Genomic DNA, 27,368 nt, shown 5'->3' on the forward strand with positions numbered 1-27,368 from the left:
TCCCATGTTAAGTTTTTGATAATTAGGAAAAACAAAAAAGTCACACACAGCAAACATAATAAAAAGAATTATTTCACTTTTATGATTTCTCATTGGTGAGTTTATTAGCCTGATGACACCGCTTTATTAACTTGTCTTATAGGTCTATAACAATGAAGTACATATTTCAAGTTTCATAAACATCTCTGCCCCCAAGCAGCAAGTTAATAATGTGAATCTATACTGTGTCAAGATTAATGTTTATCATTTTCCTAGGTATATTTTATGTGCTTGCCTTGTAGGCCTGTAATTTAGTCACACTATTGTATATCAGAATGATTAGTAAAAAGCAGACCTTCAAAGTTAAATGTTTTAAAAAGCGTATAATTTATATAGCATAGTTCAAATATGTATTCACATGTCGTCTTCATTTATTCAACAAATTCTTTTGAGCATCTACCACTGTCATTCTAAGTGTCTTTGTAGAACTTACATTCTAGCATGGAGAAAAAGATAATAAGCAAATAAATAGCTAAAACATATAGTTTGCCGGAGGTATTGAGAGTAGGCAATGGTAACATTCTCGAAGGAGAACAGAGAAAACGTTAAATAAATAACATTTTAAAATACAGTAGTCAAGGAAGGCCTCATTGATGAGACCTTTGAGCAAAGCCTGAAGGATGTAACCAAGAAAGCCATGTATTTGTCTGGGGATAGAATGGTTGGGCATTTAAATCCTATCAGAGATGTGGGTGGGTTAATGCCATTACTTATATGCCAGTATGTTTTTCAGTGAATGACATGTAAAGGGGCTTTGTAGAATGCAGTATATATACCAAAGTATAAATTCTTGTGCTATTTGATATTTTCATTTAAAACCTTATAAAGGCCTGCCTGAACATGAATATAGTTCATTTATGTACAAGAACCTTTTGATTTGGCAAAAATAGATCTTGAAAAACTTTGCTTCATAAGAACATTTAAAATTCTAATCAGATGTTAAATTATCTCTTAGATGAGAAAGAAGAGGGTATCCTGGGAAGCATACTGTTACCTAGTTTTCAGATAGCTTTGCTTACCTCTGAAGATCACATTAATCGCAAATATGCTTTTAAGGTAAGGAAATAATGCAGTTTTTAATTCTGTGTTCAAAACTTGCGTTGGTTAAAATGGATATTGAGCCATAGATTATTACAAAAAAGCTACCTTATAGTGATTTTTATATTTAAAATATATTAATTAATGGTCTTATGGTTGTATAGAAGAATGTCCCTCTAATTAGGAAGCACGTGCTAAAATATTTAGGGGTCAAGTGTCTTCATGTCTGTGCTTTCAAATGGTTCTAGATAAAATGAACATGTCAGAATGCTAATAATTGATGAATATAATTATGGATGTCCTGGTGATTATTATACGTTTTTTCAACGTTACTGTATGTTTGAATTTTTTAATAATAAATTTGGGGTCTGGGCACAGTGGCGGTAATTCCAGCACTTCCGGAGACCAAGGTGGGAGGATCACTTGAGTCCAGGAGTTGAGCCTGGGGAATATAGTGAGACCCTGTCTCTAAAACAAAACAAAACAAAACAAAACCAAAAAAAAAAACATACTAGCCGGGCATGGTGGCTAGTCCCAGCTACTTGGGAGGCCGAGGTGAAAGGATCACTTGGGCCTGGGAGGTCAAGGCTGTAGTGAGACAGGATCACGCCACTGCAGTCCGGCCTGGGCAACACAGTAAGACCCTGTCTCAAAAAAAAATTATTAATAAGATGGGCACAGTGGCTCATGCCTGTTATCCTAGCACTTCAGGAGGCCGAGTTGGACAGAAAGCTTGAACCCAGGAGTTCAAGACCAGCCTGGCCAACATGGTAAAACCCCGACTCTACTAAAATTACAAAAATTAGCCAGGTGTGGTGGTGTGTGCCTGTAGTCCCAGCTACAGAAAAGGCTCAGGTGGGAGGATCGCTTGAGCCCTGGAGGCAGAGGTTGCAGTGAGCCAAGATTGCACCACTGTACTCCAGCCTAGGTGACAGAGTGAGACTCTGTATTAATAATTATTAATAATAAATTTGGAGGAAGAGTACTATAAGAGACAACAATATTTTTTAATAAAGATATATATATGTACCTTTATTGAAAAACTTAGAGAATAATTGCAAAGATGTTCTTGGGTCTAAGTACATCATGATCATCGGGTACTTTACAGAGAACACTGAAGTCAGGATGTGAAATCTGCTGTTATTAAATCCAAGCAGACCTGAGATCCCCTTCCCTGATTAATAGTACCCACCAATCTTTGTGGTATTACTGGTTTGTGGATCACTCTCAAGTAAGAGGTCTTCAATGCTATTTTTGGAGATTTTTGTTTTCAAAAATCATTCTGCATTCTTTGCTTTATGATTATGGCTAAAATAAATTTCAGAGGTCACCTAGTTTTTCAGTCTGTTTTAGAGTAAGGAACTATAAGGTTCTTGCAGAAATTTCATTTTAAGAGAAAAGAGGGGGGAAGTGCTGCTGGTTAACAATGAACATGTTTGTACCATTATAAAATTGATTCAATTTTAAATTCCCACCACTTGTAGAGAATACTGAGGACTGCAGCTGATTTATAACTTTTGCTAATTAATATGTTACATGAGCAGGCCGGGCACAGGGGCTCATGCCTGTAATCCCAGCACTTTGGGAGGCTGAGGCAGGTCAGGATCAACTGAGGTCAGGAGTTTGAGACCAGCCTGGCCAACATGGTGAAACCTCGTCTGTACTAAAAATACAAAAATTAACCAGACATTGTGGTGCTTGCCTATAGTCCTTGCTACTGGGGAGGCTGAGGTGGGAGAATCACTCGAACCTGGGAGGCGGAGGTTGCAGTAAGCCGAGATCGTGCCACTGCACTCCAGCCTGGGCGACAGAGTAAGACTCCCTCCCTCCCCCAACCCCCCAAAAAAATAGCCAGGCACGGTGGCTCATGCCTGTAATCCCAGCACTTTGGGAGGCTGAGGCTGGCAGATCACCTGAGGTCAGGAGTTCAAGACCAGCTTGACCAACATGGAAAAACCCTGTCTCTACTAAAAATACAAAATTAGCCAGGTATGGTGGCACATGCCTGTAATCCCAGCTACTTGGGCTGAGGCAGGAAAATCACTTGAACCTGGGAGGCGGAGGTTGCAGTGAGCCGAGATCGCGCCATTGCACTCCAGCCTGGGCAACAAGAGCGAAACTCTGGCTCAAAAAAAAAAAATTGTTACATGAGCTATGGAGAAAAAGAACAGGAAAGGTATAGTGGTGAGGTTAAGGGGTTGGGTGATGGACGGCCTCAATGAGAAGGTAATGTAACTGGAGCAAAGACCTAAGGATAAGAGGGGAGTATCTTCATAGTTAAATTAACTTTATCAAAATAAACTGTATCAACAGTATAAACCAGAGAAACATAATTAAGTATTTTATGATGTTAAAACAAAAGTTAACACTTTGAAAATTTAAAATTATAACTTTATGAAGTACACATGTAGAGGTGCGTGATATTAGCACTATTATTAGGCCATGAATTTAAATTTTTTTGTTGCTTATCAATTTAGCAAATGTTTATCAATTTATGCTATTTGTAGGACTTTTTTCTGCGTTTTTAGACTCTTAAAAAATACTACAATGTTAAAATAGCAATAAAAGTGACCATACATGTTAAGTATATTTTCTCTGCAATTATTTGGTTCAGTTTTAATTTTATCTGTAACAATGATAGTAATTGCTGTTTCACTTTCTCTCTTCTGTGATGTTGTTTCCTCTGAATGTATGAGCTGCTTTACTCCTAAGTTTGCTGACATTGTTGCAAATGCTTATCAGAATGGTAAGTAGAAACTTTATAGACAATTATTGAACACAAGCATGAAACTTAAAGCTAGACTGGGTACTTTGACATCATCTAGTAAATATTTCCATTTGACTGATGGCGAGCATGGTGGGGATTCTTAGTGTCTTGAGTCATGGCTAGAACTGGATCGTCTTGATACCAACCCAGTGTTCCTTACATTGATCACAAATATGGGCAGTGGTCTTTATTTTTCCAAAACCCCACTCAGGGAGTCCAGTAACATTTTGTAGGTGGTTTTAATTATCTTAACATAGAACATTTGAGTAGTTTATTAAGGAACAGCTCAAAAAGAAAACACCATTTCGGATCATTTATAAATCTTTTGTGTTTGGGTGTAGATACCTATAAAGGATTCTATAAAATACAGCAGTGCCTTTTGAGGCCTAAAGAAATTGCTAACGCAGGAGGGAAATGCCATAACATGTACATTTCTATTAATTTTGTTGCTGGTTGCTGGGAATATTCTTAAATAAAGAATATTTATTCAAGAATAAATATTCTTATTCTGGGTGTGGTGGCTCACACCTGTAATCCCAGCACTTTGGGAGGCTGAGGCAGGCAGATCACTTGAGGTCAGAAGTTCGAGACCAGCCTGGCCAACATGGCAAAACCCCGTCTCTACTAAAATACAAAAATTAGTTGGGCATGGTGGCACATGCCTGTAATCCCAGCTAATCGGGATGCTGAGGCAGGAGAATCGCTTGAACCAGGGAGGCAGATGTTGCAGTGAACCAAGATTGCTCCACTGCACTCCAACCTGGGCAACAGAGTGAGACTCTGTCTCAAAAAAAAGAAAAAAAAAAAAAAAGGTGTGAATTGCAGTAAATGGAAATTGCTAGAAATGTGGAGATGGAAGAGGCACCACTAAGTACTTCATTTCTCACCTCCTTTCCTTTCCATGCACTCTTTTTTTTTTTTATTTTTAATTTTAGAGTGTGCACACAACTAAAAGAAAGAGGGTAAAATTAAGGGGGAAATTAATATATATTTTTCAAGTTAATAGTTATATTTTTTCTTGATTCATTTCCATATCTCAGGTAAAAGATAAGTCTACTTTCTCTGAAATTTGATAGCAACGTTCTATGTCAGGAATCACTTACCTTTTTTTCTTTTTCTTTTACAGAATCCTATATTTTTATTTAAAATGATCGTGTCATTTTCAATCAGGCAGCCCATCCAAACATGCGGACCTATTATTTCTGCACTGATACAGGAAAGGAAATGGAGTTGTGGATGAAAGCCATGTTAGATGCTGCCCTAGTACAGACAGAACCTGTGAAAAGGTAAAGGCTTGTAGAAAAAATGATGGTGATTTCCACTTCCATTTTATTCCATGCCTTGCAAGTATTTCACTGTCATAGTACATATCATTTTAATAGTCATGGTATGAAATCATTTTTTCCTCAGAAAGCAAGGATCAATTCCTGTTCTGAATTAAATTAATACACATTTTGTTAGTTTGCGATACCACCTACATTTTTATTCCACTTTTCTTCTTTTTCTTCTTTATTCATTTTCACCTATCGGTGTACTGGGGTGAATCCAGAATCCTAACATTCAAACTGAATGTTCTTTCTTCTTACAGAATTACCTTTAATTTCCGGTGAGTACGTTTTTAATTGTTACCTTAAAGCTACACAGATTTTTATCCTTTGAGATAGTGTTTTTAAGATTCTAAATCTTAGAAGAGAGTTTATTTTTATGAAGTTAATTTGTGTTTTTCTGTAATAGTGTGTTGATGTTTCTAAAGTGTGATGAATTACAGTAAGAAACTTTGATAGTTTCATTTTTTCAACATTTCTGATTAATTTTTATTGTTTTTGTAATGAATGTCTCCAGAAAATAGTTCGTCAAGCATTTAGATTGTTTCCAAATCCACTTCTTGGTGAATTGTACCTTTTTTATATTGAAACTCCACTACTCAGATTCCTTGATAATATAGATAAGTGCTGTTAAAATTGACCCATGTATTTTTCCCTGCTTGAAGATACGAATCATTTTAATATTCTTCAGTATAGCTAGTTAGAGGAAATCTGATTCTCAGACTACATAAATACAAGTAGTATAATGTGCTTTTTAAAAAATATATATTCCTGTAATTCGAAGAAAAAATTATGATGCAAGTTAATTTTTCTTCCAGTCAGTGACAGCTGAGCACATATCTTATGTAAGAAAGATGCTAATGTGCATCTTTTTTCCCTCTTCTTTTTTTTCCCTCTTCTCAGGAAATTAGGGATTGTTACAGTATACATCTAGTCCTTTGTTTTTCTTATTCTAGTGTGCATTTTAATAAAGTCTTGGCTTTTTGGCTAAAAGACTTAGGTTGATGCTGTGTATTTGTGCTATTTTTGTAAATATCAAGTCTAAATCAAGTTACCCAATCACTAGTAATTAGAGCTGGGGAAAAACTGAAAAGAAAAGAGGGTCTAGGATATAGCTCTAGGACATCTATTTTTAAGAAAAACCACTTTTGCCACATGCATATTGCAGGATGAGAGCAGATAGAAGGAAAATCTGTTTTTGGAATTGCATGTGTAAAAATTACCTGAGTAGCATAAAGATGAGGTGGTTAGCACTGATAACGAGAGAAAATGTGTAGGTGAAGAGAATTCATTTAAAATCTTCAGGCTGAGCATGGTGGCTCACACCTGTAATTCTAGCACTTTGGGAGGTTGAGGGATCACTTGAGCCCAGGATTTTGAGATCAGCCTGGGCAACATGATGAAACACCATCTGTACCAAAAATACAAAAATTAGCTGGGCGTAGTACCACACTCTTGTAGTCCCTGCTACTCAGGAGGCTGAAGCATGAGGATCACTTGAATCAGGAGGTTGAGGCTGCTGTGAGCTGTGACTGTGCCACTGCACTCCAGCCTAGACAACGGAGTGAGACCCTGTCAAAAAAAAATAAAAATAAAACTTCAATACTTTTAACTTCAAAGCAAAATTTTTAGGAAATTGTTTAGAATACAGAAATCTGTATAATAATTAAAATATTTATGTCCAAATAATTTCAATATTGTATATTATACTTTTCTCAGAATTTCAGCATGTTTCTACTTTATTTTATTAAATTTACCACTCTAAAAACTGATAATTACTCGTAATTTGGGATGATAAAGATGGCAATTATTTGGCTTGGCTTTTGGCAACCTGATAGTTCACTAGTTAGGTGCTTATACAGTTTTCAGCCGTCTTTGTTAGTGTAATCTACTCAGACAAGATTTATTAATACCACCTGCGTGCCCAGCTTAGAGTCCGTTATCCTGTAGAAATTATGTGTTTTCTTCTACTCCTAGTTGTTGGCATTTTTATCCCACTCTATTAGATTTAGTCATTCAAAGTGAAAGTAAGTATAGAGAGATTTTGTTTGCTTGGTTTTAAGCTAATGCACTCATTTTGCTGTATGGCTCAAATACTTAAAATATTTATCAGAGCTTATCACTGTAATACAACATCCAGTTTTTAACTTGAGAGTTCATTCTCCCTAACTTTATAAAGTATTTCACCTGTTCACGATAATGTCATAGTCTCCTAGTGTGCAGATCATTGATGGCCCAAAGAAAAAAAAATCTAAGTATAATATGGATTCTCTGAATAATTTTCATCTCTAAGCCCATTATTTTCATTTTATATATCTCAGTGTATTTTCTGCAATAACTTAAATGTCACTTTTTAAAATTAGATCACAAGTTTTATATTATTTATGGTACCTTAGCATACTTTTCTGAGTCAGCTTTGTTCCATTTAGAGAAAAGTCATCATATGTGTCTTTTTGACTACTTTTTCAATGATAAATCTTGGGGAAAAAGAAAAAAAACCCACCACAGTTTTAATTTAAAATAATAGCTTTAGGCTGAGCACGGTGGCTCACGCTTGTAACCCCAATAATGTAGGAGGCCAAGGTGGGAGGATTGCTTGAGCCCAGGAGTTCAAGACCAACCTAGGTGACCAGTGAGACCCCGTCTCTAAAAAAATTTAAAAATTAGCTAGGTGTGGTGGCGTGTACCTATAGTCCCGGCTGCTCGGGAGGCTGAGAGGGAAGGATCACTTGAGCCCAGAAAGTTGAGGTTGCAGAGAGCCAAGATCACGTCACTGCACTCCCCCCTGGGTTATACGGCAAGAGACCTTATCTCAAATAATAATGATAATAATCATGATGACAGTAATAATAATAGCTTTAGATAGACTACAGTAAATATGTTTTAAAAATCTTTTCAGTTATTTTATGTTTAATGTTAAAATTCCTACCCTCCCAAATAGCAAGGGATACATATGCTTTTAGTGTAAATGTTCTATGCCTTCTTTGTTGTTCTTGTTTTGAGATGGAGTCTCGCTCTGTCGCCCAGGCTGGAGTGCAGTGGCACGATCTCAGCTCACTCCAAACTCTGCCTCTCAGGTTCAAGCAATTCTCCTGCCTCAGCCTCCCGAGTAGGTGGGATTACAGATGTCCTCCACCAAGCCAGCTAATTTTTTTTTTATTTTTCGTAGAGACGGGGTCTCACCATTTTGGCCCGGCTGGTCTCAAACACCTGATCTTAGGTGATCCACCCACCCTGGCCTCCCAAAGTGCTGGGATTACAGGCATCAGTGGCCACACCTGGCCAACTTTTATTTTTCAAGAGAAAGAAGCACATAGTCTATCTTAGTAAATTTTCCCAATGTCTAATGTTGCCTCCAATCTAGAAGCCATGGTTTATATTTAACCTAAATATATGGATGGTTCATAACTTTACTCCAAGAAAAATAGTCACCTTTTTTTTTTAATTTTTTTTCCTTGGTGACCATATTCCAAAGCTTCTAGATATCTTCATCTATAGTTGATTACAGATATATGTATATAGATCTACATCCTTTCCACACGTCATAAACATTGGCAGCATTACCACACCTAGTTTCTGATAGAAGCATTTTTATTTATTGGAATATGGAGGGTTGGCTGGCTCCTGAGAGGCCTCCTAGAGTGGCATGATCTTGGCAGTTTCGTGCAGGTTCACACACTCAGCTTGATCTTTTCAGAGTCTGGAAGTGATTAGGCTCAGGGAAAGACCTAGATATGGCAACTAGAATAGTGAGCAAGTACAACTGTCGAGTGACCTAGACACATGCTGTTAACGAGCTCATTCTTTCAGTGGCCAGGTGGACATGGGATGCCAGATTCTAACCCAAGATTGCTTGATGTGTTGGAATTATAATGGTAAAATAAGGTCTGTGCCAGCCACTCATTAACTCATCTGATTCTCACAAGAACCCTCTGATCTTGGTGGCACAATCATACCCATTTACCAAAGAGGAAGCATAGGCACTTTAAGTGTTCTGTACTTTGCCTGAAGACTCAGCTAGTAAGAACAGAGTTGCAAGCTGGACATGTGCAGTCAGACTCCAAGAGCTCTAAAATCATACTGAGTTCCTCTTGAATACAAACAAAAGGAGTTAATTATATGGTTCAGATCTTTGATAGCATCAGACTATGATTTCCTGTTGCAGCCATTTCCACAACCAGACTCATGTTTGTCTCATGAGTCAACAAGCAGCTAACCTTGGCTGGGAGCCATGTGGCTCCTTTCAAGGGACTATCTACTGTGGTCCTTTAAGTGTAGACTTTGTGGTTTAACTGTCATAAGGCAATCTTAATTTGCTTTATTTTCAGATTCCTAATGGTGGGAGCACACATCACTTTTTACGCTCTAGTTCTTTATGTTTTCTTTTTCCCCCTTTCTGTTTATACATTCTGGTGTTGTGCTTGAATGTTAATATCACAGCATTGGGTATTTGTGTAGACTTGTCCACTGTGACCCTTTCCAGTCCCCTGGCCCCCACCCCCGTAAAGTATAATTTTTCCTAGATTGAATCCCAGAAGTAATATGTACATTATTTCATCTGATTTACTATGATTTTCTTCTCTGATTTCAGAGTGGACAAGATTACATCTGAAAATGCACCAACTAAAGAAACCAATAACATTCCCAACCATAGAGTGCTAATTAAACCAGAGATCCAAAACAATCAAAAAAACAAGGAAATGAGCAAAATTGAAGAAAAAAAGGCATTAGAAGCTGAAAAATATGGATTTCAGAAGGATGGTCAAGATAGACCCTTAACAAAAATTAATAGTGTAAAGCTGAATTCTCTGCCATCTGAATATGAGAGTGGGTCAGCATGCCCTGCTCAGACTGTGCACTACAGACCAATCAACTTGAGCAGTTCAGAGAACAAAATAGTCAATGTTAGCCTGGCAGATCTTAGAGGTGGAAATCGCCCCAATACAGGGCCCTTATACACAGAGGCCGATCGAGTCATACAGAGAACAAATTCAATGCAGCAGTTGGAACAGTGGATTAAAATCCAGAAGGGGAGGGGTCATGAAGAAGAAACCAGGGGGTAAGTGTCTGTCTTGTCATTATGAACCCAGGTTTCTTTGATGCTGTGTTGGTGGAGATTGGTTTCTGAGCTACTGATTAAAATATTGGTTTAAATTGTGTTTTAGCTGTTATAGCTTCATTACTACGTCTTTTGTTTATAATGATCAGATATAAGTATTTATTCTCTGTCTCTTATGTTCTGTCACCCAACTTTGCTAATGGCAAGGAGTCATCCTTCCTGGCCAAGCACAAGGAAAGGCTTGGGTTACAGGCAGAGATCGAGTTTATTTGGGAGAGGGAGGGAGCAAGCCCTGTCCTCCCAACCCACCCCTGTCTTGTCCCCTGCCATTATCACCTCTTCTCTGACTGTCCTCCATTACCAGTTTCTGCAGGTTGGTACAATGCAAGGATCTCCTGAGACAAGTAATATGGAGGCAGCAAAGGCCTACTGCTCTCTAATTCCCAGTCTTATTCTTGGGCTTTCTTTAAATCAGAATGCACATAACTATTAAATTCAAGGCCAGGCGCAGTTTTTCGGCTTGTAATCCCAGCACTTTGGGAGGCCAAAGCAGGAGAATCGTTTGATGCCAGGAGTTTGAGACCAGCCTGGGCAACCTAGCAAGACCCTATCTCTGTAAAAAATTCTTAAAAATTAGCCAAGCATAGTGGTGCATACCTGTAGTACCTACTACTTGGGGGAAGTTGAAGTGGGAGGATTGCTTGAGCCCAGGAGTTGGGAGCTGCAGTGAGCTATGACTGTGCCAGTGCACTCCAGCGTGGCAGCACAGTGAGAACCCAACTCTAAAAAAAAAAATGTAAATATATTTATATGAGCATTTATTCATTTTTGCATGCACCTTTTCTTAATATATTTATTTTGCAACTACTATATGCTAATTGTGGGACCGCAAAGTAAAATAATGAAAAGATACAGTCCAGATACTCACAGAGATAATTCTCTAGTAGAGGAGACAATTGAATAAGTAGATGCAATTTAGTGTGACAAATACAATGAAGGCAGACCAGGGTGCTGTAGGAACACATTTCGGGACAACAGCACAATCTTAAGGATTCAGAGTCTAGGAAAACCTTTGTAGAGGAAGCAAAACACAAGCAGTGATACGAAGAATAACATGCATATTATGGCTTAGATATGCAAAGCGCCAGGCTTGGTAGAGAACAGAAGAATCAAAAGAAATCCAGTATGACTTGATTGTAACTGGGGAATCAATGAGTGAAGAACAGGCTAGAGACATAAGCTAGGAGAGAGAGATTCAGATTGGTGTCTCAGAAATCTGGATAATAAATTGGAGAAAGTTCAAAAGTTACTTAAGTGATTGAAGTGAGAAGAGGATGAGGATGTATTCGGGATATAATTGACAAGTCTAGTTGATTGCTTTGATGTGCTTGATTGCAAACTCGTCTTGCTCAAGATTAAGTTTGGTGCCGGGCAAGGTGGCTTGAGTCTGTAATCCCAGCACTTCGGGAGGCCAAGGCGGGCAGTTCAGTTGAGGCCAGGAGTTCGAGACCAGCCTGGCCAAGATGGTGAAACCCCATGTCTACTAAAAATACAAAGATTAGCCAGACATTTTAGTGCTCACCTGTAATCTCAGCTACTGGGGAGGCTGAGGCAGGAGAATCTCTTGAACCCGGGAGGCAGAGGTTGCAGTGAGCCAGGATCGTGCCACTGCACTCCAATCTGGAAGTTTCTTGAAGGAAATCAAAAATGACACCCTGCCTTTTAGGCCTGGGCAACTAGGGTGATTTGGTGCCTTTTACTGCAAAGAAAAGATTTGGGAAAAGAGAAGATAGTGGTTGGATGGGTTATGTGAGGTAATACATATGTTAATTAGCTTGGTTTAGCCATTCCACAATATACATATTTCAAAACATGTTGTTCACCATAAATATATATAATCTTATTTGTCAATTTTCTTTAAAAAGGAAACTGGCAGATGCTCAAATTTACCAGTAATCAGGGAATTGCACATTAAAGAAACAATTAGGCATTATTTTTCACTTACCAGATTGACCAAAATCATAAATAAAAGAATTAAGGCATAGATGAATAAAAATTAGATTACTTAATGTTGGATGGAATGACAGACATGAATAAGCTTATATATTACTAGCAGGAAAATAAATTAATACAATGTGATTAGACAGAAAAGAAGCAGGAAGCAGGTCTGGGGGGAAAAAAATGAAAGGATGTTTGGAAGTACTTGGGAAAGTAATCACTTTCAGAAAAATTATAAAAATCCAAATCAGAAGATTGGTGCGTCTCTGCTCACCAAGTTAAATCTTACTTCAAAGAAGAATCACTTTTCCCCGAAAATCATACTTTCTTAAGTTTAAAAGTGTATAGAGAGAGTCAACAGATATCTGGAAATTAGAGGATTTTTAAAAATTGTGAAGTATAAATACTAGTTTTAGGTTCCTTTATGAGTGTAATTAATATCAGTAAAGTCTTTCAGTGACTTCTTCCTTTTGGACATACACCAACAGCTTCTGAAGGCTGGTTTTAGGTTATTTTGAGCTAAGATTTTCTCTGGGTTCCTCCTACATTTTTGGGTTAACTGTTATGCCAGTTTTTATAAATACTGTTATTTAGATGTTCTTTTGAAATGGCTTGAGTCCACTTTGGATCATAAGAAAATATCATCTACATTATGATATAAACTTCATCATAAAAATAGTTGTAGTGTTTTATAATGAAATGATTTTTTATTGGTGGAATGAAACAATTGTAATTCAATATATAAATCATTTTTTAAAAAGCTTTATGAAAGTCTTCTATTATTAAAGTTCTGATAGAAAGAAAAAGGTTTAATATTTAGTCAAAATAGTAGATCCCTGCATCTGTGAACAAAGCTTTAAAGTTTCATTCTGAGTGGCAGGCACTGTTAAGATGCATGGTCCTTAAGCCATTGTTCTGCATGGCAGAATCACAGGGAAAGGGCTTTTATGGTGCTTGACAGGCAGCTGCTGGCCAATGGGGCACTAAATCTGATGTAGGAGCTTAGAGTGTTCATTTCTTAAGCTTTCAGTTAAAAGTAAATCACACTTTGCTTAATTTGAATTTCTTTGGGGAAAAAAGTCACTAAAGGGAATTGTAGTTTTGAAAAACAGGTCTCAAAGTGCTAGAAATATATGGGATAAAAATAAATTTGCTTGATAATAATTTAATTTTTAATTAAAATTCCCCAAATGTGGTTCCAAAGATGACAGAAGAGCCTTTTAATGTCATTAATTAGGCAAGCTTACTAAAAATATATATATCCTGCTGTTAATGATCATATGATAGTTGACAGTTCAGGTTCAATATACGTCTCTACAACAGGGTCCAACCCAAACATTATGAATACTTCAGAGCACTTGACAAAAGTGTTTTAGTGTAATTATATTTTTGAACTATAATTTAGATATTAGTTTATAAGCAACTTTGGGTGTGTTTTAGATTGATAATGTATGTCCCCTTCCTTACATGTTTCTATGATATAGCTCAGTGCTTAATCTCTAGCTTTTTGCATATTAAGCCTCCTGTAGTATTTCTTCAATTTATGAATGACCAAACAAACCAAGGTGTGTCAGAGTAAATTGCTTTAGTACTAGGGCAGTCTCTTTGATGGAGTCAGCTTTCCCTAGCTGACATATTTGCACATAGTCATGGGATTGCCAGCTCTGGATGTTTTCCAGTTTCTGGCTTTCGTGTGATAGGAGACGGTGAAGATGGGGAGGAAGACCAAGCAGAAACAAAATAGGAAATACCCATGGAGGGAAAGCCTCAAGGAATTGAACTCTTTATACTGGTTATATAAGAGCAATTGGGTACCTTTCTCCCTCTCTCCACCCCGAAGGCATCGAATCGGATGGTTGGCCTGAATGCAGCGGTTCTTGTCTGGAGACATTTCGTTCAATTTTGAACAACCTCTTTTTGAGTAGAGACATTGAAATCCTGAAGAACAACCACCATGATGAAGGAAATTTAGTTTAGGAGAAACGGTTGAAAGAATTAGAAATATTTAAAATACAAAATAAGGCATAGAATTTTAGAGCTCTAGAATAAGTTTATGATGAAATCATCTTCTAGATGAGAAAAGAGGATCCCAGTTTCAGTTGGCCATTGGCTAGATTTTAATAGCATATTAAAGAGCTCTCTGGTGCGATAAGATTATATCCTTCCTAATTTTTAATACCTTTTTATTTTTAACTAAGTCATTGTGATAGATGAGTATGGTTTTTTAAAAATAATATTCATATCGTGGCAAAATTTAAAAATAGAGGGATTTTTTTAAAAAATCAAAAAGTTTAGGGATCACTGGCATAGTTAAAAGAGTGCTGCTTTAGAAAGTAGGAGACCTGCATTTTAGTTCTATTTAGCCCGCAAGCTCTTTCTGTAACCCCAAGTATGATCTCTTGGACCAGGTGTGGCTCACACCTGTAATCCTGGCACTTTGGGAGGCCAAGGTGGTTGGATCACCTGAGGTCCGGAGTTCAAGACCAGCCTGGCCAACATGGTGAAACCCTGTCCCTACTAAAAATACAAAAATTAGCTGGGTGTAGCAGCAGGCACCTGTAATCACAGCTACTCGGGAGGCTGAGGCAGGAGAATCGTTTGAACCTGGGAGACAGGTCCAGTGAGCGGAGATCATGCCATTGCACTCCAGCCTGGACGACAGAGTGAGACTCCATCTCAAAAAAAAAAAAAATACATACATATATATATAAAATCTCTTGGTCTTTTCTCCCCTACTCCCCTACCCTGCCCCCAATATTCTGAAAGCCCCAGAATATGTAACTCATCCAAGGTCTAAGTACTTAATAGGAAAGCAAGAATCAAAACTTGGCTGTCTTGATTTTTGATCAACCACTTTTCCTGTTTTACTGTTTTCCCACTATATCCCCTCTGGATGCTTTAACCCACAAAGAGAAGGTATATTTAACATGAGATTTTTCTCTTAGTGTAAAGGTAACATAATTTTACTGCCCCAATAGACACAAATTATGCCGGCAGTTTATTAATTAGGTGCCTCATAGTCCAGAATGCACTTAATTCATCACAATGAAACCTGTTTTTTTTTTTTTTTTTTTTTTTTTTTTTGGAGACAGGGCCATCCCTCTGTTGGCCAGGCTGGAGTACAGTGGCACAATCTCAGCTCACTGCAACCTCTGCCTCCTGGGTTCAAGCAGTTCTCCTGCCTCAACCTCCCGAGTAGCTGGGAGTGCAGGAGCATGCTACCACACCTGACTAATATTTTCTAGTTTTTGTAGAGACGGGATTTTGCTATGTTGAACTCCTGACCTCAAGTGATCCACCCGCCTTGGCCTCCCAAAGTGCTGGGATTACAGGGGTGAGCCGCTGCACCCAGCCTGAAATCTTTTTGTAACTATAATATATCAGTATTTGTGCATTGTTACTGACAGGTCTTTGGGTCAAAAGAGAGCTCTTATATCCAGATTATCAGCGAAGGATTCCCAGATTATTAAGAGTATGGTCAAATGATTTTCCCATCAAATATTTAATCCCTTCGGGTCCATGTAATTACCAATATCTCTGACATTTTCACAACCAGTAGGAGCCCATGTAATATTAGGAAAAAGTTGTTAACTAAACATTGAAAGAAGAGATCAGAAAACCTGAGTTTGTGGAGTCCCAACCCTTCCACATACTTGGTTCATTGAATTCTGTTGATTTTGATATTAGGATATAAATTTATGCCTATGGAGATGATTGTATAAGATGAATACTTGTAATTTAATTTTTCTTTTTCTTTTTTTTTTTTTGAGACAGAGTGTCTGTCACCAGCACGATTTCAGCTCACTGCAACCTCCACCTCCCAGGTTTAAGTGATTCTCCTGCCTCAGCCTCCCGAGTAGCTGGAACTACAGGCGTGCGTCACCACACCTGGCTGATTTTTGTATTTTTAGTAGAGACAGGGTTTCACCATGTTGGCCAAGCTGGTCTTGAACTCCTGGCCTCAAGCGATCTGCCTGCCTCAGCCTCCCAAAGTACTGGGATTACAGGCGCAAGCCACCACGCCCAGCCTAATCTTACTTTTTCTAATCTAGATGTTTCTTGTTCTGGTGGTGGTTAAAAAGTTACGTTTGGGAAAAATAAAAAATTAGCCACACATGGTGGCATATATCTGTAGTCCTAGCTACTTAGGAGGCTGAGGCAGGAAGATCACTTGAGCTCAGGAGGACCGGGCTGCAGTGTACTCCACTGCACTCCAGCCTGGGTGACAGAGTGAGAATCCATCTCAAAAAAAAAAAAAAAAGTATGTTTGTATTTAGAATTTGAATTATACCTACACCTCTGTATCTAAAGGAAATGGAGGCCAGGCGCTCACTCCTGTAATCCTGGCACTTTAGGAGGCTGAGGCAGGCAGATTGCCTGAGCTCAGGAGTTTGAGATCGCCCTGGGCAACATGGCAAAACCCCATCTCTACAAAAGTACAAAAAATTAGCTGGGCATGGTGGCTGGTGCCTGTAGTCCCAGCTACTCAGGGGCCTGAGGCAGGAGAATCACTCGAACCTGAGAGGCGGAGGTTGCAGTGAGCTGAGATTGTGCCAATGCACTTCAGCCTGGGCAACAGAGCAAAACACTATCTCCAAAAAAAAAAAAAGATAATAGGGAAACACAAATGCTAACTTTACGTAGAGTTTTTAATTGATTCTTTTTTTTCTGGCTCACTTCTCCCCTAACTTTTAAAAATCTTTTTTATATCATGAATTTCACCTAGTATGAAGTTGGCACTGTGATAGTTTTATAAACTCAAAAGAGTATGTTTATCAAAGTGGTTTTTGTTGTTGTTGTTGTTGTTGTTGTTGTTTTGAGATGGAGTCTCACTCTGTCGCCCAGGCTGGAGTGCACTGGCGCGATCTTGTCTCGCTGCAAGCTCGGCTTCCTGGGGTCACGCCATTCTCCTGCCTCAGCCTCCCAAGTAGCTGGGACTACAGGCACCTGCCACCACGCCCGGCTAATTTTTTTGTATTTTTCGAAGAGACGGGGTTTCACTGTGTTAGCCAGGATGGTCTCGATCTCCTGACCTCTTGATCCGCCTGCCTCCGCCTCCCAAAGTGCTGGGATTACAGGCGTGAGCCACTGCGCCCGGCCCAAAGTGGTTTTTTTAAAAATAGTAAACTGAAATTGTATTCTTTCATTTTTGGAAATGGTAGTATTCTGTGCTTAGTAATATGCAATTACATATCCAATTCCCAAAATTAACATTTTAAAAGAATTATACTTTGCATGCATAATGTACATGAAGCATTTTTAGATTGCTTTAAGAAGCCTCCTGAAAAATATTCTACCATCTATGAAGTGGAATATTAATTACTGTGCTGGAAACTTTGCAAAATTGCTGAGATTGCACTTTTATATCTGAAATATTGTGATATTTAAGTATTTTATCTTTAATAGAATTCTGAGCATCAGCTCCAAGTCACTTTTATATCTCAAGTTAGGAAAAGCTATGAAAGGAAGTTATTCCTTCAAACCAAATGTACTGATGTATTTACTCCCATAAATAACCATACTTCCTGAAAGAAAACATACAACAGAATAGTCAACATATACTTGTAGTAATTTATTTCCTGTCTTTATGCTCTATGGGTATAACTCACTTCATATTTCATCCATACATAGAAATCCTAGTCCTCTGATGAGATGTATAAAAATGAGAGTTTATTTATATAAAAACAAATAAAATATAGTGACAGAATTGAGATTAGATTTTAAACATTCTTATTTCTCAAATGAAGTATAATACTCTTTCATCTTTAAATCAAACTCTACATTGTGTGGAACTAATAGTCTTTTGTGTAATTGATATAGATGCTGTTTATCTTGTATTAAGTGTGTTAAATCGAATTTCATTAAAAAGATTAAAATCTGTTAATAGTTTATACCTTGGATAATATTTTGATCTTTAAAAAAATACATTCTAAGCTGGGCACGGTGGCTCATGCTTGTAATCCCAGCACTTTGGGAGGCCGAAGTGGGTGGATTACCTGAGGTCAGGAATTCAAGATCAGCCGGGCATGGTGGTGGATGCCTGTAATCCCAGCTACCCAGGAGGCTGAGGCAGGAGAATCGCTTGAGCCCAGGAGGCGGAGGTTGCAGTGAGCCGAGATCACGCCATTGCACTCCAGCTTGGGCAACAGAGCGAGACTCTTGTCTCCCAAAAAAAAAAAAAAAAAAAAAAAATTCTAATGTATATTTTACTTACTGGAACAAAAGAAATGTACTCTAATTTAGAATTTGGAAAATAACCCTCCTTCATGTTTACATTTTAATTATTTTTTTATTTTAGAGTAATTTCTTACCAAACATTACCAAGAAATATGCCAAGTCACAGAGCCCAGATTATGGCCCGCTACCCTGAAGGTTATAGAACACTCCCAAGAAACAGCAAGACAAGGCCTGAAAGTATCTGCAGTGTAACCCCTTCCACTCATGACAAGACATTAGGACCCGGAGCGGAGGAGAAACGGAGGTCCATGAGAGATGACACAATGTGGCAGCTCTACGAATGGCAGCAGCGTCAGTTTTATAACAAACAGAGCACCCTCCCTCGACACAGTACTTTGAGTAGTCCCAAAACCATGGTAAATATTTCTGACCAGACAATGCACTCTATTCCCACATCACCTTCCCACGGGTCAATAGCTGCTTATCAGGGATACTCCCCTCAACGAACTTACAGATCGGAAGTGTCTTCACCAATTCAGAGAGGAGATGTGACAATAGACCGCAGACACAGGGCCCATCACCCTAAGGTAAAATAGCTGCTGATTTTGTGTTAACTCACTACCTTATAAATGCTGTGTTTTCTTTCTAGTATACTATTTTAAATGTGAGAGACAAAAGAATGGGGATAAAGTAAGCAAGGCAGCTCTTTTTTGTTTTAAAAAATAAATAAAAATATTTTACAACATTAAGATCTCATGTATAAAAAATACCTAATTGCAACACTTCATCTCTCAGGAACACAGGAGCAGTTCTTTTGAGCAGATGCATTCTGTTTTCTCTGCTTGATACCATATCTCATCAGTTCTCCGTGTAGCTTAACACCACATGCATTTTTCTGTTGTTTTTGTTGTTGTTGTTGTTTTGTTTTGAGATGGAGTCTCTCTCTGTTGCCCAGGCTGGAATGCAGAGGCATAATCTCAGCTCACTGCAACCTCTGCCTCCCGGGCTCAAGCGATTCTCCTTCCTCAGCCTCCCGAGTAGCTGGGATTACAGACATGCGCCACCACACCTGGCTAATTTTTGTATTTTTAGTAGAGATGTGGTTTCACCGTGATGCCCAGGCTGGTCTTGAACTCCTGATCTCAAGTGACCCACTGGCCTCAGCCTCCCAAAGTGCTGAGATTGCAGGTGTGAGCCACTGTGCCTGGCCTAGACCACATTCATTTTTATTGGCTTTTTACACACTTGGAAATTCTACACCTACTGTCTTCTGGCATACCTGAAATTTTGTATCAAGCTCATCCTGTTGTTCATGAGGATAAAAGTGTTAACTTTATCTTCTAACCAATGAATATATGGCATATTGAGATAACTCCTTAAACACTCGATTTAATATTGTAGCTTAATGGTATGTATACATTTTAAAAATGGAGATCATGTTTTACTTTGTATATTAAGTTGGTTTAAGCATTGCTTAGTATAGATTATTTGAAGTGAATTCAAAGTGCTTTGTATCAATCAGCTTTTCATAATGCTAAAGCAGTGGCTTTGATTAGTCAGCTAGTACACAACCAGTTCCCTAATGTCTATCCTAAAGTGCTTTTTTTTTCATACTGAAGAGTTCTTTGACCGGACATAGTGGCTCACACCTGTATTCCCAACACTTTGGGGAGCCAAGGCCATAGGATCACTTGAACATGGAAGGTTGAGGCTGTAGTAAGCTGTGATTGCACCACTGCACCCAAGCCTGGGAGACAGAGCAGGACTCTGACTCAAAAAATAGTAATAATAAGTTATTGCTTTATACTGTTTTAAAATGCTCTTTTCTTATCCTTGTGACAAGCTGATTTCTTCAGCTGCGTTATTACCTAAGCATTTGCTTGATATTTCCATAAATAAGCATTTGTTAAGATTAATAGATTAATCAGGAATTTTCCTTTGAAGAAAGTTTTAATTTGCCTCACAACAAAAGGCTCACTTTGAACTCCATCGTAACAAAGTTCAGTGTTTCCTCACTTTTTCCAAAGACTAAATCATGATTGATAAAAATAGTAACAATATATAAGAAAAATCTGATCTAATACAACTTAATGTGTATGGTCTAACAATTGGCTCTAAATTACATGCTCTCATGGTTAATAGTATTTTTCATGTTCTTGGCCAGAATATATCATCTGTTTCGACAGCAAATATGAGATGAATCTATATTCTCTATCCAATTCTCAACTGTCTGCTACTGCTACTCCCAAAAGACTTCTCCAAAATTGCCAAATTTTTCTTTCAAACTATCCTATCCTCTTCCTTGATCTAGATCAGTGGTTCTTAAAGTGTAGTTCATGGACCCCTGTGGGGGTTCCCTCCCATGACCGTTTCAGGGAGTCAAAACTATTTTTATGATCATAATAAGGCATTATTCATTGTGTTCCTATTTGCTCTAGTAGTGCAGAAGCGATGGTGAGTAAAATTTCTGGCACCTTAGCATAAATCAAGGCAGTGGATCCAGACTATGCTAGTGGTCATTGTAGCCCTCCCTGCCACACACTTGAAGTAAAAAATAAAGTATCAGGTTCACTTATAAATCTCATTCATGAAACAGTAGAAAATAATTTTATTGAACCTTAACATTTTGTTACATATTCTTTTACTATTACTTGTGATGAAATGGTAAATGCATAAAGCATTTCTATGGCATACCAAAGTGCTAACCGTTGTCTCACAGTAAAACACATGATGGAGTTGCAAGCTGAATTAGTTCCTTTTATTGTGAAACATATTTTTACTTGAACAAAAGACAACTGTCAATATTCAGACGTGGTATTTGATAGACACACTTTCTCAAAGTGAATGCTATCCTGTCACTTCAAGGAAAACAACTGACAGTATTTGTTACTGATAACAACGTTTGAGTTTTCAAGCAAAAAATAGAATTTTGAAAATCATGTATCTGCCACCCTGAACTTGACAGCTTTCCGGTGCTTAAAGATTGGCGGTGATATTAACAGTTGTGATGTTTTTATATTGTATACTGACATATGTCAATATTTAGAACATTGCATAACTCACTGAACCAATATTTTCCAGATGACCAGTGTTTGATGTCACAAGATTCATTTAAAGTACAAATAGACCAAGTGGATATTAATGTAACAGAGTATCAAAAGTTCATTGATAAGGTTTCAGATATCACTTTGTAACTAACCTTTAAAAAATATCAGTTTTTTGAGCTATAGCGCAGTGTCAAAGATGAACATCTATAATTATCAAGAAAAACTATTAAAATTCTCTCCTTTTTTCCAACTATATATATTGAGGGTAGATTTTCTTCACATACTTCCACTAAAAGAGATTATCACAACAGATTAAATACAGAAACAGATACAAGAATCCAGCCAGACATTAAAGATTTGCAAAACTGTAAAACAATGCCACTCTTGCCACTAAATTTTCTTTTTAAGAATATAAAGGGATCCTGAGGTCAAAGAGTTTTTGAGAACCTCTAAACCAGATTTTAGAATTACTCTGTTCAGGCCGGGCAAGTGGCTCAAGCCTGTAATCCTAGCACTTTGGGAGGCCGAGGTAGGTGGATTGCTTGAGGCCAGGAGTTCGAGACCAGCCTGGCCAACATGGTGAAACCCCGTCTCTACTAAAAATACAAAAATTAGTCAGACGTGGTGGCATGCGCCTGTAATCCCAGCTACTTGAGAGGCTGCGGTAGGAGGATCTCTTGAACCCAGGAGGTGGAGGTTGCAGTGAGCTGAGATCTTGCCATACACTCCAGGCTGGGCAACAGAGTGAGACTCTGCTTCAAAAAACAAAAAAAAAAAGAATTACTCTGCTCATCCACATCATTATTTTTTTAGATGGAGCCTCGCTCTGTTGCCCAGGCTGGAGTGCAGTGGTGCTATCTCGGCTCACTGCAACCTCTGCCTCCCGGGGTCAAGCACTTGTCCCACGTCAGCCTTCCGAGTAGCTAGGATTACAGGCCCACGCCACCACACCTGGCTAATTTTTTATACTTTTAGTAGAGAAAGGACAGGGTTTCACCATGTTGGCTAGGCTGGTCTCGAACTCCTGACCTCAAGTGATCTGTCCACCCTGGCCTTTCAAAGTGTTGGGATTACAGGCGTGAGCCACCGCACCCAGCCCCACATCAGTATTTTATGTCAAGAAATGTTAGTCTCTATCATCTTTCATAAGCACTAATAGCAATTTTAAATGGTATTTCATAATAGGAATTTAAGATTTCTCCTTGCTGACATTGATAAGAAAAAAAAAACTTTACCACAGAATTACATTGTGCCTTTACTTTCCTAGCATGTCTATGTGCCTGACAGAAGGTCAGTGCCAGCTGGCCTGACTTTACAGTCTGTTAGTCCCCAGAGCCTCCAAGGGAAAACGGTGAGTAATATCTTTATTTACCATACCATGTTTTATTTATGTGCTGCACAGGAAGGTACATATCTAACATAATTTTTAAGTTTGAATTTTCAGAGGTTCTCCCAAAGAAAAAACATTACTGCTTTTGTGCAAGAGATGCTCATCAGAATTTGAAATCATGTAGCCATTTCAGTGTTTTAGTGGATACCTTTTCCTAAGTGTCTGACTGGCCAAATAAAAGATTATATTTTGAAACTTTATGGCCGGGCACGGTGGCTCATGCCTGTAATCCCAGCACTTTGGGAGGCCAAGGCAGGCGGATCGCTTGAGGTCAGGAGTTCAAGACCAGCCTGGCCAACATGTTGAAACCCCATCTCTACTAAAAATACAAAATTAGCCGGGCATGGTGGTGCGTGCCTGTAATCCCAGCTACTTGGGAGGCTGAGGCAGGAGAATCACTTGAACCCAGGAGGTGGAGTTTGCAGTGAGCCGAGATCCTGCCATTGCACTCCAGCCTGGGCAACAGAGCAAGACTCTGTCTCAAAAAAAAAAAAAAAAAAAAGAAACTTTATTGTATGAACTAGGTGGGTTTCTTTACTTTCATTCCCTTATCCTTAAAACAGAAGTTGCAGTAATTCATTAGTGAACAAATCCAGCAAGCAGTTATTTGTAGTCAAACTACCAGCGTATTAAGTTTTTCGTGTGAATTTTTAGATTAACTTCTTTAGAGCTGTTTGTAAAATAAACTGATTTACATATCAGCAGAAAAAGACTGTAACAAGCGTTCGATCAAAGCAAGTATTTACCATTACCATTTCATTGTCAGTGTTATGTTAATTGGAAAGGAGTTACATTAGCAGGACACTTCTTCTAGTTAAAGAGAAAAGATGACTTTTCCTCACTTCAGTTTATTTTAATGGTATTCTTTTATCAGGGGCACTGGCTTTATTGTCAGTAGATAACCTCAGTTTCTGTAAAGATGTGATTTTAGCACCTGTGTGTATAGTTGTTCATTATTTAAAATTCTCTTCCTGCAGTAATCAAATTCATCTTATGTGTTTTGTAAAAACATTGTTTTATTTTATCTTTTACACATTTAGATAAAATGAAATATTTCCTTGCTTTAAGCTTCCTGCAGTTTATTTGCCAAAGATTATTTGATTAAGACTAAGGACTTTTAAATGTGGGAATCTTAAAACATTAGATTGTTGGCCTGACAAATAGTCATTAATCATAGAGTAAATGCTAAATAGCATACCACAAATGTTTCTCTTCTGCCTTGCTCCCTCTAGTGGATATTTAGCCAAAATTTATTTACCACCACCTACTTTCTTTGGTCAAATGTGCCTCTTTATTTGGCCTCAAAATCTAAATAAAGTTATTGGTATCTTTCATCCTTTTGAAAATCTCTTAGTCTGTTTAGCTCCATAAATAATAAACCAGAGTTTCAGTATTCCTTGCGGTATCACTCTGGGTTCTTAGAATATCTAAATCCCTTTGCCCATCTTACCTTCTCCCTGGCAAGACCTCAAGTGTTGGAGATGATGATCATAAAACAAGGACTATCCTAGCATCATGAGGTCACGAGATAGGATTGGCATCAGAGCAAAAGCAACTGTTCTTTTTCTCTTACATGGTTTATTTAAATCTCATACACCAAATATTCTTTGACCATTTAATATACAGTAAAAAACTGTTGTCTCACCTGTGGATACCCAGTTTTATCTAAGGAATCCAATAGTAACTTCTGCTAACACTTTTTCTTCTGAAGGCAATAATTTTTAATATGATTTTGGATAATGGTTAAAAATGATTTCTGTTTTTGAAAAGAATTGTCAGAAAATAAAGAGCAATAGCAAATAAACAGAACGGAAGAGAGTTAATGCAATGCTGTCGTGTAGGCAAAACAAACCAATCTTGGGAATACTTTTTAGCCTGGAATTTTTAAGAGTACATTGCAGCACTCCAGTGAGGAAAGCCTGTAGCCTGCTTTCAGTTGTTAATCATAACAAAGCTCAGAGAAATACCAAGTAATATTTTATGGGCTATAAGAATGCCAATGATCATACTTTACTGTATTTCTAAGAAAAGTATATTAAATTGGCCCATTAAGGAATTTCATCCACTGTTGAAAATTTATTTTCCTTTGGATCACAGTCACCAATCAGGAACCAAAAAAAGGTTCTCTTCTTTTCCCAGAGTGAAGAAGGAGGGTTTATGTGCCCATGGAAACTCTCTTTTTCTTAAAAAATAAAACTGATCTTTTGGTCATAAAAAATGCTATATGAAAGCACTAACAGTGACATTTCAGAGTATAACTGGGAAGCAATTAATAGAACCCAGATCCCAAATTTAATAATGTGAAGATATCCAAGTTTTATTTTATTTTATTTTATTTTTATTTATTTTTTTATTTATTTATTTTGAGATGGAGTCTCGCCGTGTCGCCCAGGTTGGAATGCAATGGCGTGATCTCGGCTCACTGCAAACTCCACCTCCTGGATTCAAGCGATTCTCCTGCCTCAGCCTCCCGAGTAGCTGGGATTACAGTTGCGTGCCACCATGCCTGGCTAATTTTTCTTTAATCTTTAGTAGAGGCAGGGCTCAGGCTGGTCTCGAACTTCTGACCTTGTGATCCGCCTCCCTCAGCCTCCCAAAGTGCTGGGATTACAGGCGTGAGCCACTGTGCCCGGACTACATTTATTTTAATTATTTTATGTAGTTCTGTTAGAAAGTTGGACATGCAGGTATTTGTACTATTGCTGGGAAAAGGTGTAATTTTTTTAGATATCTTAGTAAAATATCTTTTAATAATTTTTTAGTAGCACTTATGTACAAACCTTTATAATGTTTTTTTGGCATTGTGCTTTTTTGTACTTAACATTTAAATGTTCTCATGAGTTCTGAGAAAATGCCTTAATTTACTGTTGTTTTGCTGTATCTTTTAAAGTAACACTGTTCCTTCTATTTCTCTAGATATCTATGCATTTATGTAGGACCTATCATCATAGTGCCTAGGCACTATGTTTGATGTCAACCATAAGAGGAAACTTGCCAAGAAATCTTGGTTTAATATCTGTCACTTAAGACAACAATTAATCTGTTTTCCACTGTTTGGATTCTTAAATTGTACTCCTTCAGCCAGAGGAGCTTACGCTGCTGCTAATAAAGCTGAGACGGCAGCAAGCCGAACTGAGTAGTATCCGGGAGCATACGTTAGCACAGCTCATGCAGCTAAAGCTTGAGGCCCACAGCCCAAAGGTCAGCTATGGAGAGATTTGTCTGTGTCGTCTGCCATCATCTCTTATTTTGAAACACTCATCAGTCAATATGATCAGCATCATTAGTGTTGAGCATGAGCCCATACCATCATTATAGTGACAACATTAGAATCTCCTATTAACCCTTTGAGAATTCAACTTATTTATACATTACTGAAAGAAAATACAGGTAGGGTGCATTTCTTCTTAGCCTTCTACCCCACCCGCTCACCCACTGGCTTTTGGTTTTGAGGAAGGCAATGCGTACAATACTTCATGTACGCATTAACTTCATGTTGTTACTCACTGAATACTGTGACTTCCATATCTGGTAAAACAAATATTGAGAAGTCCTATAATTTCCAATAAAACAATAAATTAAAAATTCATTATAGCTTTAATAATACTGCCTTTTAAATGTTAAAAATTAATTTTAAAATGTCTTATTTTTAATGAAAAGAACGAACACATAACCGTTTCTCAAAGGGTTTATAGCTCTGGTTATATAAGAAAGATCTTATTTAAAGAAGTAGTACTATATTAGAGGAAATAATTGACATGTAAAAGTTCTAACAGTCAGTTTGCTAAAGCTATTTTAAGGAATTTTTCTGCTTAATAGTTCATTGTTCATATGCATGTCTACGTAATTTCTTACAAAACAAAATATAATTTTGTAATTTAATATGTCAGCGGTACCATTTACAGGGGAGCATGTGCGTGAAAGTTGTCGTGTACTGTGATATAATAGGTTGTAGTAAATTACCTGTTTTTCTTATTCCAAAATTGACCTTTTCTTGAATTCCACATCCTCTTTCTCTGTCCCTTTTTTCTTAATTGGTGCCTACTAGAATGAAATTCTTTCACATCATCTCCAAAGGAACACCATATATTTGGATCATCAGGTGGGATTCATAGAGATTTTCTTACTTTTAATACTTAATAGAACTTCTTAAATATAATACAGTTTTTCAGGCTTCTCAGCTATTTCAGTCACGTTGAATTAATAACATGACTTTTACAAGTGATAGAATATGAAATCTCTGACCAGGTGGATTCAGGAATTCCATAATAAACAGGGAGAAAGGACAGGTGTGGAGGTAAAGAGGGATACAAATGCTGGGTCACCTGAAATTGAGGGCCTAAATTCTCTAGACTTCGTTCTTCTTATCCCATTAAAACACCTACTCCTTGAGGCTTATCTCAGCTTGGAGCTGACCTAATTAAAGGAACAGACACCAAGCTGTGAATTGTCTTGTTGGAAGGCAAGAAGGAGGGTGAATGTAGTGTGCTCTGTATTCCTAAAGGGGAGTTTAAAGGTGGGTGAAGTT

The 27,368-nt window shown here is 37.9% G+C and overlaps 1 protein-coding gene and 1 long non-coding RNA gene across 75 annotated transcripts in view; one reads left to right on the forward strand and one right to left on the reverse strand.

Moving 5' to 3' along the window:
• Nucleotides 1-27,368, forward strand: part of PLEKHA5 (pleckstrin homology domain containing A5) — a 246,668-nt gene that overhangs the window by 135,023 nt on the left and 84,277 nt on the right. For 26 of the 74 annotated variants that reach the window (NR_169821.1, NR_169817.1, NM_001385936.1 and 23 more), the window contains 5 exons: nucleotides 995-1,095; nucleotides 5,015-5,130; nucleotides 9,761-10,228; nucleotides 18,525-18,990; nucleotides 22,718-22,801. Coding sequence is in view for 68 of the 74 variants with exons in the window: in NM_001385936.1 (NP_001372865.1) it covers nucleotides 995-1,095; nucleotides 5,015-5,130; nucleotides 9,761-10,228; nucleotides 18,525-18,990; nucleotides 22,718-22,801 (1,235 nt within the window). In the remaining 6 variants the exon portion in view is untranslated. Of the gene's footprint in view, nucleotides 1-994; nucleotides 1,096-1,177; nucleotides 3,824-4,970; nucleotides 5,131-5,432; nucleotides 5,451-9,760; nucleotides 10,229-18,524; nucleotides 18,991-22,717; nucleotides 22,802-25,756; nucleotides 26,824-26,888; nucleotides 26,943-27,368 lie in introns of those variants that run through there. The other 48 variants (NR_169819.1, NM_001385923.1, NM_001385930.1 and 45 more) reach the window with 12 other exon arrangements.
• Nucleotides 10,929-14,131, reverse strand: LOC124902892 (uncharacterized). Its single transcript, XR_007063235.1, has 3 exons — nucleotides 14,042-14,131; nucleotides 11,811-11,987; nucleotides 10,929-11,010 (listed from the first exon to the last, which is right to left on the reverse strand). It is a non-coding gene; the product is annotated as an uncharacterized LOC124902892 (long non-coding RNA).

Source organism: Homo sapiens, chromosome 12 (assembly GCF_000001405.40).
Source record: "Homo sapiens chromosome 12, GRCh38.p14 Primary Assembly".
Lineage (NCBI taxonomy): Eukaryota > Metazoa > Chordata > Mammalia > Primates > Hominidae > Homo > Homo sapiens.